We start from the raw sequence: 18260 nt of genomic DNA, 5'->3' as shown, positions 1-18260 counted from the left end.
CAGACGTTCTCCTCATGCCTCTTTTATTGGTGGGATGTGGGGTGGTGATGATGGAGGGATCGTCCCCAGAAGATTCCTGCTAATCTCCCCCTAGATCCCACTGGGCAGAAGGACACATGCTTGCTTTGGACCAGGGGCTGTGCCTGTCTTGGTGAAATCAAAAAATCTCTTTCCTGTCCTTGAACAAACAGGATTCTTCCAGCCAAGGGGAGGGAAATGCCTTTTGAGTAAGGAGGGAATAGCGCTTGCCATTAGCACATTTCATAAGGAAGAGTTTTTCTGCTGGGTTAATTGATGCAGGGAGGTCGAGTGGGATGGGTGCTGAGAAGTAGCCCCTAGATGTGACACTTAGTGGACTATGTGTGGCCCTTGAGAGGGCTGTTTCCATAGAACGGCTGGGCTTGATTGCACATTTTGGCAGGGGAGGGGGTGCTTAGGAATTACTGGGAGAAGTTTAGGAGATTAAGGGGGACTACCAGGAAGCCTAGTGTTGAAGGTAAGAGGAGAGGTGGCACCATCACTGGGTGCAGGAGGCAGACATAGGGAGATCTTTTCAGTTTGGGGGAGACTTGATGTTTATAGGCTGAGCAAAAGGAGCTGGTGAGAGAGAGGGTAAAGATTTTGAAGCAAGATGGGATAATGGATCCCCACGTCCTGAAGGAGGCATGGAGGTGGCATCGAGTGCCCAGGAGGTGGTGGTTGTCACTGGATCAAGCAGGAAGGCTTTTCTGAGAAGATTCTGGTGCCTTTTGAGACAGGAGGGCAGGAAGGTGGATGACAAAACATGAAGATGCCCGGCCAGGACAGATCCCCCTCATTTTCCTTTGTGTGACAGTGGGCTCATTTAGAGATTGAATCCATGACCTTCACCTCTCCTGCATCTTTGTTTTAATCATCTGATATAATAGACTCTTTAGAAAACCCCAGTCCACATCTGCGTGGTTGTGCCCTGGGAAGTCCCGGGACAAAGCTCACTCCTTGGGTTTTCTTGTTTGGACGAACGGAACCACCCAGTATATAGTCATGGGTGTGGCTATTATGGGATGCAATCCAGAGGGAGCAGGTCACTTAACAAACAGCACAGAGCCACCAGATCCTGCAGAGTCAGGTGGGGAGCCAGGTGGAGGGGGAGAGCCCTGAGCTGGGAAGAGAGGACTTGAGTTTCAGGTTCCAGGTTCAGGTCCTGGTCAAGCACTTACAGGCTAGGCTTCTTTGGCGCCCTCCGAGCCTGTGACCTCATCTGCAGAGGGGTGGGTTGGCAGCTCTTCTTCTCCCTTCCCTGCCCATAGTTATAAAATGTGCTGACTCCTTGTAGGAAATTAATGAAATGCCTTCCTGCCCCTCCTGCATCCCTCCCTGGGGAGCCTGCCCCTGCTCTGTACCACCCAGAATAGGATGATATTTTTGTTTTGGTTTGCTTGTTTGTTTGTTTTGAGACAGTGTCTTGCTCTGTTGCCCAGGCTGGAGTGCAGTGGTGTGATCTTGCAACCTCCGCCTCCTGGGTTCAAGTGATTCTCCTGCCTCAGCCTCCTGAGTAGTTGGGACTACAGGCACCCGCTACCACGCCCAGCTAACTTTGTATTTTTAGTAGAGACAGGATTTCACTATGTTGGCCAGGTTGGTCGGGAACTCCTAACCTCAGGTGATTTGGCTGCCTCAGCCTCCCAAAGTGCTGGAATTATAGGCATGAACCACTGCGCCCGGACTGTTTTTTGGTGTTTTGAGACAGGGTCTTGCTCTGTTGCCCAGGCTGGAGTGCAGAGGTACAATCGTGGGTCACTATAGCCTTGACCTTCCGTGCTCAAGTGATCCTCCCCATTCAGCCTCCCAAAGTGCTGGGATTACAGGCCTGAGCCACTGTGCCTGGCCAGGATGTTGTTTTTCTTCACCATTACCCCTGTTCTCTCACTTCTGGCATCTTTCCTCCTTTGTTTTGGGGAATGATGGCATGGGGCCCAGGGAGTAGGATTGGGAGCCAAACCTTTCTCCTTTATTTATTCAAATCGTAGCTATGGATGCAGCAAAAAGCAAACAGAAGTTTGACTAGATATATGAGCTCAGTATTCCACAACATTTAAAGCTGGTGTGTACTTACGTAGGAGGCTTAAAACATAACATTAGGTTAAAATGAATAATAGCCCCAACAGAAAAAAAAATAGTGCATTCTAAAGAAGTTCTTAGCGGGAATGTTCAGAAGCTTGGTTGGTTTGATTGACAATAGCTCTGTATGTCTCCTTCTCGGTAGCTCCTTAATGCAGATCTCTGTTGCTCCCTGACTTCTCCACTGGGTCACGTGTGGCCAGGTGTCATGAGCATAATATCCCTATCATCGCTGTCTGGCAGGGTGAGAGTTCAGAAGGAGTCATATTTGCTTTTAGGTCACCCTCTTTATTTATCCAGCACGTGGGGTAGGACTGTGACCGAAGGAGGGCTCCATGCACGTCTCCTGTGTTGTTGGAGGAGGTAGTGTTGGTAATGGGCGAGGAACAGAGTCGTTTGGTCCCAGCAAAGCTGCTTCCATCAGATCGGTCCTGCCCCTTGGCTGGGCTGCCTGGACTTCACTTCATCATCTCTAAAATGAGATTAAAGATTGTTTCTCCCTCATGGGAAGGCTCCGGGATTCAGTGAGCTTATGCCTGTTTAGGAAAGTGTCTGGCACAGGGTCACTGCCCTTGTGCCATCACATCTGCCCAGATGAAATCAGGTAATCAGCTGACGCACCCGGAGTGCCCATCGCGCATGCGTGCTGTGCCCCATGGGAAAGGGGCGTCAGATGTGACTCTGCCCTCAAGGAATCCGCATCTAGCAGGAGAAAGAAAACCGGACACTTTGGAGATAAATAGAGAGCTAGAAGGCCAGCGGGACCCCCGCTTCCCCACGGCGCGGACATCCTGGAGGGCGAGCAGCTGCCGGGCGGGGCACGCTGTCAGCCAACCCTGCCTAATCTCCTGGCAGACAGAGCTGAGAGAAAGCAGAATCTGGTATTCATTGTGCGGTTGTTTCTAATTTCCTTCTGCTTTCGAGATCCTCTTCTAAGGGAGAACAATGCCCTGAATGATGGGGCACAAGCTTCCTTGGCTGGGCACCCACCCAGCTGTGGCAGAGGCCGGGCACTCACAGGGCCGGTGGTGTTTGATTCTGGCCTCTGAGAAGCTCCTCCGACAGTGGGTTTTGGTGGCTGGTTTGAGTCCCAGCCCATAGAACAAGTCCCCCCAGGCTCACTTATGAGTATTATCTTTAAAATTTCCCTATCTGCCAAAGAAGAACGCCTTTTGTGTTATCGCCAGGGTTGTTACGAGGCCGGGTGGGTGGAGGGGGCACTGAACCTCAGAACTCTCTGTAGGATCCACATCTGGAGCCAAGAGGCCGCTCTGTGCCACCACACTCCCCGGAGTGTCCATCGTGCATTGGAGGGGGACGGTGTTGGCCTCAAGTGCTGCCCTCGCAGCTCCCGTTCACAGACCATGACTGAGAGGACTCTCAGCAGAGGACCCTGGGGTGACATTTCTACTGCTGGTGCCTCATAAGGCTGGCCAGGGGCAGGAGGCCCAGGGCTGAGTCCAAGGAATGGGGTGGGGTTTCCTCATTCCTTGCTGTCTTCATACTTGGCCTTCTATTTGTAGATTTCAGTAATTTATCAGCCTTTCTAGGTTCCTCTTTCATCACCAGAAGCAGAATGAACCTAACATGAGAAACCCACATGCATAAAGGGCTGAGAGAGGCTGAGGGGCATTTGATGATGACTTTCAAGTCTATGGGGCTGTATCGAGGAAGATGCTATGGCAGTGGCAGGTGAGAGGGTGAGTGAGGGGCTGCACAGCCCCAAGAGGCCCTGGCAGGGTTAGCTGTCTTCAAGATGAGCAAGACCCAGCCGGGCGCGGTGGCTCAAGCCTGTAATCCTAGAACTTGGGGAGGCCGAGGCAGGCAGATCACCTGAGGTTGGGAGTTCGAGACCAGCCTGACCAACATGGAGAAACCCCATCTCTACTAAAAATACAAAATAAGCCAGGCGTGGTGGTGCATGCCTGTAATCCTAGCTACTCAGGAGGCTGAGGCAGGAGAATCGCTTGAACCCTGGAGGCGGAGGTTGCGGTGAGCTGAGATCGCACCATTGCACTCCAGCCTGGGCAATAACAGCGAAACTCTGTCTCAAAAAAAAAAAAAAGGCCGGGTGCAGTGGCTCACACCTGTAATCCCAGCACTTTGGGAGGCCGAGGCAGGTGGATCATGAAGCCAGGAGTTCGAGACAAGCCTGGCCAATATGGTGAAACCCCATCACTACTAAAAAATACAAAAATTAGCCGGGAGTGAAGTGGTGGCATGTGCCTGTAGTCCCAGCTACTTGGGAGGCTGAGGCAGGAGAATCGCTGCAATCTGGGAGGCGGAGGTTGCAGTGAGCCAAGATCACGCCACCGCACTCCAGCCTGGGTGACAGAGCGAGACTCTGTCTCAAAAAAAAAAGAAAGATGTGCAAGACTCGAGCCAGGTCTCCCAGGCTTAGGTCACCCAGGTGCATCCTCATCCACATGCCATTCTCACTACAATTTGTTTAATATTTTCCTTTTTTTTTTGAGATGGAGTCTTGCTCTGTCTTGCCCAGGCTGGAGTGCAGTGGCACAATCTCGGCTTACTGCAACCTCTGCCTCCTGGGTCAAGCAATTCTCCTGTCTCAGCCTCCCAAGTAGCTGGGACTACAGGTGTGCGCCACCACACCCGGTTAATTTTGTATTCTTAGTACAGATGGGTTTCGCCATGTTGGCCAGGCTGGTCTGGAACTCCTGACCTCAGGTGATCCGCCTGCCTTGGCCTCTCAAAGTGCTGGGATTACACGCGTGAGCCACTGCACCTGGGCAAATATTTTTCTCTAAATAGATTTATTGATTATTTATTTTTGAGATAGGATCTCACTCTGTCACCCAGGCTGGAGTGCAGTGGCACAATCACGGCTCACCACAGCCTTGACTTCCCGGCCTCAGGTGATCCTCCTGTCTCAGTCTCCTAAGTAGCTGGGACTACAGGCACATACCACCATGCCTGGCTAATTTTTGTATTTTTCATAGAGATAGGATTTTGCCATGCTGCCCAAGATGGTCTTGAACTCCTGGGCTCAAGCAATCTGCCCGCTTCAGCCTCCCACAAAGCGCTGGGATTACAGGTGTGAGCTGCTGTGCCCGGCCCTAAAGAGATTTATTTTGAAAACCTTAATCATTTAATTAAAAAGAAACATTTATGTCACTACTGTAAATGAAACCCAGCATTTTGCTGACAGACATTGAAATAAGTACAGACGGAACTGTTAAAACTACTCATTCTGTCCCTTTGATATAATCTTGAACACCACCCATTGCTTTGTATAAGGTCTCAGTGTATAAATCTTTCTGTATGATGGCAGCTCCATGTGTGTCTGATGGAGATGTTGCAGGGGAGCTTGATGTTGTCAAGGAGTAGGGTGATTTGCGCCGACTTGTGACCCCACCAAAGATGCTGGGGGTGACAGCCCTGCTGCCTGACCAAGGGCTTGCTGGCCCCATATTAGCATCTCTAACAGGGGAGGACGACAGTGGCTGCTTCAGAGGGCTCGGTGAGGGTGAACTGAGCTCCTGGAGGATTTATTTATTTATGTATTTATTTATTTTTGAGGCTAGGCTCGGTGGCACATGCCTGTAATCCCAGCATTTTGGGAGGCCGAGGTGGGTGGATTACTTGAGGTCGGGAATTTGAAACCAGCCTGGCCAACATGGTGAAACCCCATCTCTACTGAAAATACAAAAGTTAGCTGGGCGTGATGGCATGCTCTTGTAATCCCAGCTACTCGGGAGGCTAAGGCAGGAGAATTGCTTGAACCCAGGAGGTTTAGGTTGCAGTGAGCCAAGATCGTGCCACTGCACTCCAGCCTGGGTGGCAGAGTGAGACACCATCTCAAACAAAAATAAAATAATATAAAATATAAAATAAAATATTTATTTTTGAGACAGGTTCTGACTCTGTCACGTAGGTTGGAGGGCAGTGGCTCCATCACAGGTCACTGCAGCCTCTACTTCCTGGGCTCAAGTGATCCTCCTGCCTCAGCCTCCTGAGTAGCTGGGATCACAGGTGTACACGGTACCATGCCAGGCTAATTTTAAAAATTTTCTGTAGAGGCCGGACGTGGTGGCTCACACCTGTAATCCCAGCACTTTGGGAGGCCAAGGTGGGCAGATCACTTGAGGTCAGGAGTTCGAGACTAGCCTGGCCAACATGATGAACCCTCATCTCTACTAAAAATACAAAAATTTAGCCGGGCGTGGTGGCACACACTTGTAATCCCAGCTACTCAGGAGACTGAGGCAGGAGAATTGCTTGAACTCAGGAGGCGGAGGTTGCAGTGAGCTGAGATGATGCCACTGCACTCCAGCCTGGGCAACAGAGTGAAACTCTTGTCTCAAAAAAAAAAAAAATTATACAGACGGGTATCTCTATGTTGTCCAGGCTAGTCTTGAACTCCTGAGCTCAAGAGATCCACCTGTCTTCGCCTCACAAAGTGCTGGGATTACAGGCATGAGCCACTGTGCCCAGCCACCCTATAGTATTTATAAAGTGTTTAGAAATAGTGTCTGGCACATAGTAAGCACTTAGCAGATGTGAACCCCCACTATAACTTGGGAGATTTTGGCTGAGGGCCCTCAACTGTCCTGGGGATCTGCCTTTGTGGAGACGGGGCTGGGATGGACGCTGCCAGGCTCCCTCTGGCTCTCTGCAGATCTCTGTTGTTCCCTGACTTCTCCATTTGGTCAGGTGTGGCCAGGCAGCATAAGCATCATTTCCCCCCTGATTATAGGGTTAAACTAAGAAGTGATCATGACAGGCGTCATCATGAAATATCCCCACTGCAATCGGTGGCCATCTCTGTCCACTAGAGGCTCAGAAACGGGCTCCCAGGGATGGACACTGGCGTGCACTCCTGGGGGCTTGTGGGATCTGTGTCTGCCGTTCCCTCTGGCCAGCCACGGGTTGTTTCTGGAATGGGGCTCGTGGCTGGGAGGGAGGAAGGAGCTGTGGGAAGCAATCCCAGGTTCCTTGGTGGGATTGGAAACTCTGCCTCAAGCCCTGGAATTTTGACTTCCTGTTTGGCCTGGCACTTGTTCCCTAACATTTTCGGCTCTGACACATCCTCTCCCTCCCCCTCTCAGTGTCGTTTCCTCATCGTAAAATGAGGGGGTTGCACTAGATCATATCTAAGGCCCCTGTGAGCTTGAGAAAGCCACGATTCTACCTCCCGGCCACCCCCTCACTTTTCCCTCAGGGCCCTTGATTGGCAGTGAGTGGAGAGGTGGGAAGAAGGAGAGAAATCGCAATAGCTGTGCATCAGGCCACACGCAGGATGGCCCCGTGGCAAGGAACTGTCCAGTCCAAAATGTGAATAGTGCCAAGGTGGAGAAACCCTGTTTTAGGGAAGGAAAGACAGAAGAGAGGAGAGACTTAAAAGACAAATGCGGCCGGGCACAGTGGCTCACGCCTACAATCCTAGCACTGTGGGAGGCGGAGGCGGGCGGATCACTGGAGGTCAGGAGATCGAGACCAGCCTGGCTAACATGGCAAAACCTCATCTCCACTAAAAATACAAGAATTAGTCAGGTGTGGTGGTGGGTGCCTATAGTCCCACCTACTCGGGAGGCTGAGGCAGGAAAATCACTTGAACCCGGGAGGCGGAGGTTGCAGTGAGCTGAGATCGCGCCACTACACTCCAGCCTGGATGCTAGTGTGAGACTCCATCTCAAAAAAAAAAAAAAAAAAAATCACACAAAAATCCAAAACAAACCAAAAAGAAAGACAGATGCACACATGCACTACAAATAATAAATGGTTAGACAAATGATAATGAAAAGGAACATTTAGGGATAAACAAAATGCATAGGAAAAGGGTTTATGAAGGAGATTGGACAAAGTTGCCAGGATAGGAAGGATGTGTTTGCAAAGTGGCCATAGCTGGGCTGGGTCGAGTTTAAGGTGCTAGCCCTAGAGTACTAACCAGCATTCACTTTACAGATGAGAAAAATAGGGAAACTGCCCAGGCGCGGTGGCTCACGCCTGTAATCCCAGCACTTTGGGAGGCCGAGGTGGGCGGATCACAAGGTCAGGAGTTCGAGACCATCCTGACTAAAACAGCGAAACCCCGTGTCTACTAAAAATACAAAAAAAATTAGCTAGGCGTGGTGGCGGGCGCTTGTAATCCCAGCTACTCGGGAGGCTGAGGCAGGAGAATGGCATGAACCCGGGTGGTCAGAGCTTGCAGTGAGCGGAGATCACGCCATTGCACTCCAGCCTGGGTGACAGAGCGAGACTCCATCTCAAAAAAAAAAAAAAAAAAAAAATAGGGAAACTGAGAGGGATGGGTGTCCATCCCTCTCCTTCCTGGTTCACTTTGGAAGATGCCACCTCTGTTAAGGGCCGCTCCTGTGGGATTTCAGCAATGCAGCCAGGTCAGCAGTGGTACCTGTTGATGCTACACAGCAACCTTAGGATGGCAGGCTGCATAGTCCAAAGGCCCAGGAAGTCATTATCATATGAGCATTCTCATGTGAGCCGGTCATGATTAGTTTTTCTATGAGACCTTTGCTCCTCATTGAAATAACAACAAATCAGTTGTCTCCACGCCAGAGGAAGATACCACATAAAGCAAGACTAAAAGGAGCAGAGAACAGAGAAGGTCTTCCTGGCCTTAGGGATGGGCAAACATTTCTAAAACAGAATGCAAACAGCACTAACCACAGAAGAAAAATCGATGAATTGGACTTTATCAAAATTAAATCCTCTCTTCATCCAAGGGCACCATTAAAAAAATGAAAAGGCAAGCCTCAGACCTGGAGAAGATATATATCTGCAATACATATGTCTGATAAAGTATTCGTTTCTAAAATATTTGAAGTACTGCAGATCAATAAGAAAACTAAAAATGACCCAATTAAAAAAATGAGAAAAAGAGGCCAGGTGCGATGGCTCATGCCTGTAATCTCAGCACTGTGGGAGGCCGAGGCAGGTGGATCACCTGTCAGGAGTTCGAGACCAGCCTGATAAACACGGTGAAACCCTGTCTCTACTAAAAATACAAAAATTAGCTGGACGTGGTGGCAGGCACCTGTAATCCCAGCTACTCGGGAGTCCGAGGCAGGAGAATTGCTTGAACCCGGGAGGCAGAGTTGCAGTGAGCCGAGATCACACCACTGCACTCCAGCCTGGGAGACAGAACAAAACTCAGTCTCAGGAAAAAAAAAAAAAAAAAGAGAGAAAGAAAAAGACTTGACCAGGCACTAACAAAAGAGGATACCCAGATGGCCAAATACACTGTGAAAAGGTGCTCAACATCATTATTCATCAGAAAATGCAAATGCGCTGGGAAATTAGCTGAGCCTGGTGGCACAAGCCTGTAGTCCCAGTTATTTGGGAGACTGAGGTGGGAGGATCATTTGAGCCTAGGAGTTTGAGGCTGCAGTGAGCTATGATCATGCCACTGCACTCTGGCCTTGGTGACAGAATGCAAAAGAAAAAAAAAGAACAACATAGACACACAAAACTCCCACAAAAAGATACTACTACACACCCACCATAATAGCTAAAATGAAAAGACTGACAATACCAAGTGTTGCTGAGAATATGGAACAACTAGAACTATTGCATATTGCTGTGGGGAGTGTGGAAGAGGTACAGCCACTGGGAACATTGTTTGGCAGATTATATTAAAGCTATAGATATGCCTGCTGTACAACCCAGAAATTCTACTCCTAAGTATTTGGGTAAGGGATTTGGGCTGGGCGTGGTGGTTCACACCTGTAATCCCAGCACTTTGGGAGGCCAAGGTGGGTGGATAACCTGAGGTCAGGAGTTCGAGACCAGCCTTGCCAATATGGTGAAACCCCGTCTCTACTAAAAATACAAAAAAAATTAGCTGAGTGTGGCAGATGAGTGCCTGTAATCCTAGGTACTCAGGAGGCTGAGGCAGGAGAATCACTTGAACCCAGGAGGCAGATGTTGCAGTGGCTGAGATTGCACCATTGCACTCCAGCCTGGCAGACAGAGTGAGACTCCGTCTCAAAACAAAACAAAACAAAGCTGAGGGGTTTGAGTGCCTATGCTGACAATAATGTATGTACAAAAATGTTCAAAGAAGTTTCTCCAAACCTGAAACACCCCAAATTCCCATCAACAGAAGATTGGAGAAATAAATTGGTGATCTATTCATATAAGAGTACTATGCAATGATGAAAAGATTATATGCTCTGATTCCATTAATATATGGTTCAGAAAGAGGCAAAGCTGATCTATAATGAGTCAAATCATGATTCTGTCTGGTGGGGATATGGATTGGGAGGGTGCATGAGGGAACGTTTTGGGGTGCTGGAAATATTCCTTATGTGGCCTGGAGTGGTGGTTATAGAAATGCCTATTTATGAAAATGATTATCAAGCTGTCCATTGTGTGCTTTATGTACTCTGATGAATGTATGTTATACTTCTTTTTTTTTTTTTGAGACAGAGTCTTGCTCAGTCACCCAGGCTGGAGTGCAGTGGCGCGATCTTGGCTCACTGCAAGCTCCGCCTCCTGGGTTCACGCCATTCTCCTGCCTCAGTTTCCCGAGTAGCTGGGACTACAGGCGCCCGCCACCATGCCCGGCTAATTTTTTTTTGTATTTTTGGTAGAGACTGGGTTTCACCGTGTTAGCCAGGATGGTCTCGATCTCCTGACCTCGTGATCCACCCACCTTGGCCTCCCAAAGTGCTGGGATTACAGGCGTGAGCCACTGCGCCCGGCCTATACTTTTTTTTTTTTTTTAATGAAAAGAAATGCAGATTTTCATGTCCAAGAGAAGTAATAACAATAATAATTTATGGAGCACCCAATATGTGCCTGGTTGCTTTATAGAGATTATTTGCCTTAATCTATCCAAACCACCTGTCAAAATGATATTCTTTTCTTGTTAGAGAGGAGGAAACTGAAGCTTAGAGAGGGACAATAGCTTGTCTGAGTATCACAGCTGGTAAGTGTGGGAGTTAGACTTGAATGCCATATTCTGCACTGTTGCCACTTGGCTTGGGATGTTGAGAGTGAATCTTGGTACAGCATCAAAGCTCTCTGTGTTGCCTGCTACTCCCCCGGAGCATCAGATGTTGCAGACACCATTCTTTAAAGAGAACTTCATTGTGTGAACCCCAAGTTCCCCCACCTTCTTCAAAACAAAAACATGAATTGGGAAGCCCAGCCCCTTTATGAACCCTTTCCATGAATTTGTTCCAATCAGGAAAAGAGCCTGCAACTTCCTCCCCACCCTGTTCATCCTAACTGTTCTGTGTTGTGAATTCGCTGAGAATGAAAGGGGATGGGCTAGAGCTGTCAATACTGTGAGCCAGGCTTGAACTCCAGCTCTGCTCCTTTTAAACAGTGAGGCTCTTGGGTAGTTATTTAACTTCTCAAAGCCTTTGTTTCCTGGTCTGTGAAAAGTGACAGTGGTACTTCCCTTCTAGTCTCACTGTGAGAGTTAAATGCGGTCATATGTAAGAAGTGCTCAGCTCAGCGACAGGTTCATAGCAAGTGTGCAATAAAAGGTAGTGTAGAAATGTCAAAACTGGCTGGGTGCGGCCAGCCTGCAATCCCAGCACTTTGGGAGGTCAAGGCAGGAGGATTGCTTGAGTCCAGGAGTTCAAGGCCAGCCTGAGCAATATAGTAAGACCCCATCTCTTAAAAAGATAAATAAATAGGCCGGGTGCGGTGGCTCAAGCCTGTAATCCCAGCACTTTGGGAGGCCGAGGTGGGCGGATCACGAGGTCAGGAGATCGAGACCATCCTGTCTAACACGGTGAAACCCCGTCTGTACTAAAAATACAAAAAAATTAGCCGGGCGAGGTGACGGGCGCCTGTAGTCCCCAGCTACTCGGGAGGCTGAGGCAGGAGAATGGCGGGAACCCCGGGGGGCGGAGCCTGCAGTGAGCCAAGATCGCGCCACTGCATTCCAGCCTGGGCAACAGCGAGACTCCGTCTCAAAAAGAAAAAAAAAAGATAAATAAATAAATAAAGCTTTCACTTTCCTGGTGCCTAATTCCTTCCAAGCCTCTTAAAGAGGCTTAGCACCTTTGCCCTCTAAATAATTCAACACACATTTGGAAGAAAGAAGTTATGTGAATGGTTTCTTCACAAAGTGTAACATATAGTGAATAAATGGGGCAGAATTGCAGGACTTCAGCAAGGAAAGGGGGGCATTTTGAACTAGAGTGGTCAGATGGTGGTATTATTTGGCTGAGTCTTCAAAAATGGGTAGGATTTAGTCACAGAGAGAAGACCAGGAAGGTCATTCTCAATTAGGGGGAGGGCAGGAGGTAGTTTTTAGGAGCCAAGGTAAAGTTTGGGAAGGGTGAGCAGGTGATTTTGGTTGGTGCTTGAAACTTGTGTAGGGACTAGTAGAAGATAAAGTAGGAAAGGAGGCCTGGTTCCAGATGAGGTCCCATTAAGAAAGCTGGCTTTTTTTTTTTTTTTTTTTTTTGAGACAGGGTCTTGCCATGTTGTCCAGGCTGAAGTGCAGTGACAGGATCTTGGATCACTGTGCAACCTCTGCCTCCCGGATTCAAGTGATTCTTCTGCCTTAGTTTCCTGAGTAGCTGGGATTACAGTGTGTGCCACCACACCCGGCTAATTTTTGTATTTCTTTTTAGTAGAGGCAGGGTTTCACCATGTTGGTCAGCCTGGTCTTGAACTCCTGACCTTAGGAGGTCCGCCTGCCTCGGCCTCCCAAAGTGCTGGGATTACAGGCGTGAGCCACTGCGCCTGGCCCGAAAGCTGGATTTGTTTCTGTTGGAAAAGGAGTTGCTGAACTTTCTTGAGCGCAGGAGGTGTAAGATGAAGCCTGGGGCATGCAGGCCCACGTGGGAGGTGAGAGAGACCAGGCCAGGAGGCCCATGAGAGGACAACCTGCGCATTCATGGGAGTCCGATGGGGATGAGTTGGGTGTGACTCGGGGAGGAGGCACTGGGCTGGGACAGAAGATGTAGTAGTTAGGCTCTGGGAGACGACAGGGAGGGAAGGTGAAGGGCCATGAAGTCTCAAAGCCAGTTGCTTGGGTTCATGAAGCAGAAAGGGTTCATGAAGAGGAAAGGGAAGAGAGAAAGTCAGTTTGGAGATGATAATGAAAGGGATTTCTTAATGGCTGAGGCTGGAGGTGGCAGCTGTTTTCACGGTTCCTACCTTCCTCTGTTATTTGAATGTTCTTGGGAACACACTGTCCTCTTCTGGTCTCGGGCTTGTATGGGGGGCACCAAAAGGACAGACTCGGGCTTTATGCAAGCTTCCTTTCCACCCTTGCCGCACAGAAACCACACAGAGGGAGGCGTGGCAAGACCAAAAGAGACCCAACAGCAGGATCCTTTCCAAATCTATCCCTTCCAGAGGCAAGCATTTGTTTGGATGCCCTAGCAAGGAGTGGGGGGACCTTCTTTCAGTTGGTGCAAAGTTAACGAACCATCTTCTGATTTTATGGAGAGATGCAAATAGTGTGTTGAATATAAATCTCTTTGTTGTTGTTTTACAGGACTGTAGAAGCGGCCAGGAAGAAAACCACCCCCTCTTAAGGTTGTTTTTGTGACCGTTCTTTGGAGCATTGTTCTAAAAATGGGAAATTACATATTGCTGTGCCAAGGGCAACAAACACCTGCAGTTAAAGGAATACCTTCCGCGAGGCGGCTTTTCGGAGCATGCATGTTTATAGCTCCAGCCAGGCCAGACCGAGGGCTGCTGCATAAGCCCTGCTTGGTGCATTTCTTTACTTGCAAGGGGACAGAGTGTGGGCTTAGGTTTGGGACTAGAGGGGGCTTTGGCAACTATGGTGCTCAGGTGATTATCCTTCGCTCGTTTATCCAATAAACATTTATCAAGCATCTGTTCTTGTGTCAACCTTTGTGGTTTTCTCTGTTCCCTTCCCTGGCGTTGTGAGAATCCCTGGGAGAGTTGGCCACAGGCAGCAGCTTGCTGTCACTATTTTTTTTTTTTTTTCAGTTTTCAGAGTCAGCACATGACTGCTGCCTCCACATGACCGAGAACCCCCGCGCGTTCTCTCCTTTCTCTCTTTTCTTTCTCCCTCTTACACCCCTTGCTCCCCCTCCCCTTTCTCTTTCCTCTTTATTTATCTAAAAAAGGAGAAATGTAATCTTTTTTTTTTTGAGACAGTGTCTCACTCTGTCACCCAGTCTGGAGAGTGCAGTAGTATGATCTCAGTTCACTATAACCTCCACCTCCTGAGTTCAAGTGATTCTCGTGCCTCGGCCTCAGTAGCTGGGATTACAGGCCTGCCACCACGCCTGGCTAATTTTTGTATTTTTTTTTTTTTTTTTTTTTTTTAGTACAGACGGGATTTCACCACATTGGCCAGGCTGGTCTCAAACTCCTGACCTCAAGTGATCCACCTGCCTCGGCCTCCCAAAGTGCAGGGATTACAGGGATGAGCCACCATGCCCGGCCAATACATGTATTTTTTAACATGCCAATCGATACGTTTCTTCAGGCACACGCCTTTTCAAAGTTTCCTGTCACTGGGGGTCAGTCTGAAATTCTTATTCTATGGTAGCAGACGTTAAAGGATAACTTTCGATTATCTGGTTAATATTTAACTTTTATCAACATTGATATTGCAAAATAATCAGGTCTTGAAATTTATCAAGCATGAAATGAATACCATTCAGATGGATTTGTGGTTTAAGAGGAATCCAGTTTCATAAACGAGTCTCATCTTTTTTTTTTCTTTTTTTTTTGAGACAGAGTTTTGCTCTTGTTGCCCAGGCTGGAGTGCAATGGCGTGATCTCGGCTCCCTGCAACATCTGCCTCCTGGGTTCAAGCGATTCTTCTGCCTCAGCCTCCCAAGTAGCTGGGATTACAGACACCCGCCACCACGCCCAGCTAATTTTTGTATTTTTAGTGGAGATGGGGTTTCTCCATGTTGGTCAGGTGGGTCTCAAACTCCTGACCTCAGGTGATCCACCTGCCTCAGTCTCCCAAAGTGCTGGGATTACAGGGGTGAGCCACCGTGCCTGGCCAACTAATCTCATCTTTACCTAGAAACAGAAAAGCAGGGAACAACGGAATACGATGAACTTCAAACTTTTTTTGCATTTTGGTTAGAACTTCCTGCCCACAGAACATATGAATTCCTCAAATGGGTCAGCCACAGAGTAATGGGAGGTCTTTTTGGGGGTTTAGGGTCATGTCTCAGGGGCCACTTGGTTATTGATATGGTCCTCCTGGAAGCAGAGAGATGGAATAAAAAGGTCGGGAGGCCAAGGCGGGCAGATCATGAGGTCAAGAGATCGAGACCATCCTGGCCAATATGGTGAAACCCTGTCTCTACTAAAAATACAAAAATTAGCTGGGCATGGTGGCATGCATGCGCCTGTAGTCCCTGCTACTTGGGAGGCTGAGGCAGGAGAATCACTTGAACCGGGAGGTGGAGATTGCAGTGAGCCAGGATGGCACCTCTGCACTCCAGCATGGCAACAAAGTGAGACTCCGTCTCAAAAAAAAAAAAAAAAAGGTCTCGAGTCCTGTAATATACTTAATTTACTGTCTTGGCTTCCACCTTGGTTTCAATTTTTCCACTAGAGGGTCAAAAGTAGAATCCTGCTGCTCTGATCAAGTACTTGACGCAGATGTACATTCGAATGATTTATTTTCCTTTTGCTTTCTTGGGTTTTCTAATTTTTCTACAATGAGTGGCAAGATAACTAAAATGTGAATCATGCCTTCATAGGACTCACATTCTAGAGAAGGCAACAGTTAGAAGCAAACATGCTATAGTAAGATAAATACATGATTTATCCCACTGTAAATACATGCCCCAGATTAGGGGCGTGGAAGCTCAGCAGCAGAAAGAGCCCCTGAACCTCAGGGCACAAAGTGCTGGGTAGGGAGAACAGGGAGAAAGAGCCCACAGACTAAGTCGTGAAAGAATCTGAAGGGGGCCAGACTTAGCAAATGAAATACAGTATGCCCGTTAAGTGTGCATTTTAGATAAATAATGAAACAATTTTTAGTATAAGCATGTCCCAAGTGAGTCATGAAGGATGGAGTTTGGTTCTTCCAGGGACTTTGGGAAGGGAAAGCATTTCAGTTAGCGGGAACTGTTTCTGCAAAAGTGTGGAAGTGTGAATGGCATGGATTTGTTGCCTGTTTCAAATGTGAACGTCTGTGCCTCGACATGAATCGACAAGCCTTACTCAGAGGGCAGTTTTATTTCCGAGCATCATCCACTGCTGCACCCTCAAAGTGAAGGGTAGGTGGGAAGCAGCAGGATTTGAGGCCACAGTGGGAAGCAGGGCCACCATCTCCAGGAGCCTTTGATGATGGGTGAGGGGTTTGGACTTTATCCAACAGGGGACCAGGAAGAGGGAAGGATTTTAAGCAAAAGCATGAACTTCCTGTTTGATTTTTGGCAATCATGGGAAGGAAGTAAGACTAAAATCTTAGAGACTATTTAGGAGGCAGATTAACGGCCCCTCAAGGATCTCCACGTCCTAATCCCCAGACCCTGTGCATGTGTTAGGTTACCTGGCAAGAGAGAATTAGGGTTGCACATGGATGAAGGTTTCTCATCAGCTGACCGTGAGAGGGGAGGTTGTTTTGGAGTATCTGATGGGCCCAGTGTAATCACAGAGATCCTTATGAATGGAAGTGGGAGGCAGAAGAGGAGATCAGTGTCGGAGAGAGAATTGCAGAGGCTGCCCTGCTGACTTTGAAGATGGGGAAGGGGCCATGAGCCAAGTAATGCGGGTGGCCTTTAGAAAATGGAAAAAACAAGGAGACAGATTCTCCCCTGGAGACTCCAGAAAGAATGCAGCCTGCCAACACCTTGGTTTTTAGCCCAGTGAAATGCATTTCAGACATCTGGCCTCCAGAACGAGAAGATCATAAATTTGTGTGTTTTTAAGTTATTAAGTCTGTGGTAAGTTGTTACAGCAGCCATAGAAACTAATGTAGAGGCTGTTTGCAATGATCCAGGTCACAGATGGTGAAGGCTTGGAATTGGCAATAGGGTCAAGAGAAGGGGATAAGGGCTGGGCACGGTGGCTCACGCCTGTAATCCCAACACTTTGGGAGGCAGAGGCTGGCAGATCATTTGAGTCCAGGAGTTTGAGACCAGCCTGGCCAACATGGCGAAAACCCGTATCTATGAAAAAAAATACAAAAATTAGCTGGGCATGGTGGTGTGCGCCTGTCATCCCAGCTACTCAGGAGGCTGAGGGAGGAGGATTGCTTGAGCCTGGGAGGCGGAGGTTGCAGTGAGCAGTGATTGCAACCTTGCACTCCAGCCTGGGTGACAGAGTGAGACCCTATCTCAAAAATAAATAAATAAAAAAAAATAAAGGGATCAATTCCATGTAAGTTGAGATGGACTCAGAGACCGACTGGACGCCTAAGGTCAGGAGGTCAGGAGATCCCCCAGCCCAGCAACCCTTTCTCCTCTCCTGATGCCCCAAGGCCTGCTCCTCCTTCCACAGCTCCCAGGGAGCCTCTGATCAAGTCTCTATCCTGTCCCAGGGCTGATTAGTACCTACTTTTGTGACAGGGGCCTAACAGGGAATTCTTTTTCATTTTTATTTTTGAGATGGAGTCTCATTCTGTCACCCAGGCTGGAGTGCAGTGGTGTGATCTCGGCTTACTGCAACCTCGGCTCACTACAACTTCCGCCTCTGCAACCTCTGCCACTGCAACTTCTGCCTCCTGGGTTCAAGTGATTCTCTTGCCTCAGCTGTAGCGGGGACTACAGGCATGCGCCATCATGCCCGGGTAATTTTTGTATTACTAGTAGAGATGGGGTTTTGCCATGTTGGCCAGGCTGGTCTCGAACTCCTGACCTCAGGTGATCCGCCTGCCTCAGCCTCCCACAGTGGCTTGAGCCACTGCACCCAGCCCTAAGAGGGAACTCTAAAGGAAGCTCTGTAGGTATCTGCCTCGTGGTTACACACACAGGGTGGCTGTGAAACCGCCTTTGCAAAAATTACAACTGAGGAAATTATGACAGTGAAAGAGATCAGACCTAACCGACTCCATCTTCCTTCTAACCTTTAAGCTGTCCTTGTTCATTCCTGGGCATAGGCCTGAACTAACTTTGGGAAGGAATTCAGTTCATGTTTTGACTCTGAAACAAAATTGATAATAGCCATTTCCCTAAAAAAAACCCCATTCTTGCCTGTGGACCAGTCTGCCTTTGCAAGACTAACAAATTAGCTACAAGATTAGAAATTTAGTTTAG

The 18260-nt window shown here is 48.4% G+C and overlaps 1 protein-coding gene across 1 annotated transcript in view, besides 4 other annotated features; it reads left to right on the top strand.

Moving 5' to 3' along the window:
- AHNAK (AHNAK nucleoprotein) overlaps positions 1-13897 on the top strand; it is a 113263-nt gene extending 99366 nt beyond the window's left edge. Inside the window, exon 6 of the mRNA NM_024060.4 lies at positions 13550-13897. Coding sequence (NP_076965.2) covers positions 13550-13557 — 8 coding nt within the window. The 3' untranslated portion in view covers positions 13558-13897. The remainder of the gene's footprint in view (positions 1-13549) is intronic.
- Positions 1830-2124: a silencer, noted in NCBI's record as "tiled region #7741; HepG2 Repressive non-DNase unmatched - State 20:ReprD, and K562 Repressive non-DNase unmatched - State 23:Low". NCBI's record gives its function as "represses a minimal TATA promoter and a strong SV40 promoter by Sharpr-MPRA in HepG2 and K562 cells {active_cell/tissue: HepG2 | K562}" and the evidence as "EXISTENCE:reporter gene assay evidence [ECO:0000049][PMID:27701403]".
- Positions 2665-2724: an enhancer, noted in NCBI's record as "active region_4817". NCBI's record gives its function as "activates an Ori minimal core promoter by ATAC-STARR-seq in GM12878 lymphoblastoid cells {active_cell/tissue: GM12878}" and the evidence as "EXISTENCE:reporter gene assay evidence [ECO:0000049][PMID:35858748]".
- Positions 12367-12866: an enhancer, noted in NCBI's record as "H3K4me1 hESC enhancer chr11:62202047-62202546 (GRCh37/hg19 assembly coordinates)". NCBI's record gives its function as "activates a minimal SCP1, AML or CMV promoter by ChIP-STARR-seq in primed H9 embryonic stem cells {active_cell/tissue: H9 hESC(primed)}" and the evidence as "EXISTENCE:reporter gene assay evidence [ECO:0000049][PMID:30033119]".
- Positions 12867-13368: an enhancer, noted in NCBI's record as "H3K4me1 hESC enhancer chr11:62201545-62202046 (GRCh37/hg19 assembly coordinates)". NCBI's record gives its function as "activates a minimal SCP1, AML or CMV promoter by ChIP-STARR-seq in naive H9 embryonic stem cells {active_cell/tissue: H9 hESC(naive)}" and the evidence as "EXISTENCE:reporter gene assay evidence [ECO:0000049][PMID:30033119]".

This window comes from Homo sapiens, chromosome 11 (assembly GCF_000001405.40).
Source record: "Homo sapiens chromosome 11, GRCh38.p14 Primary Assembly".
NCBI lineage: Eukaryota > Metazoa > Chordata > Mammalia > Primates > Hominidae > Homo > Homo sapiens.
Note: the sequence above shows the minus strand (reverse complement) of the source record. Positions and strands in the feature narration are given on the sequence as shown.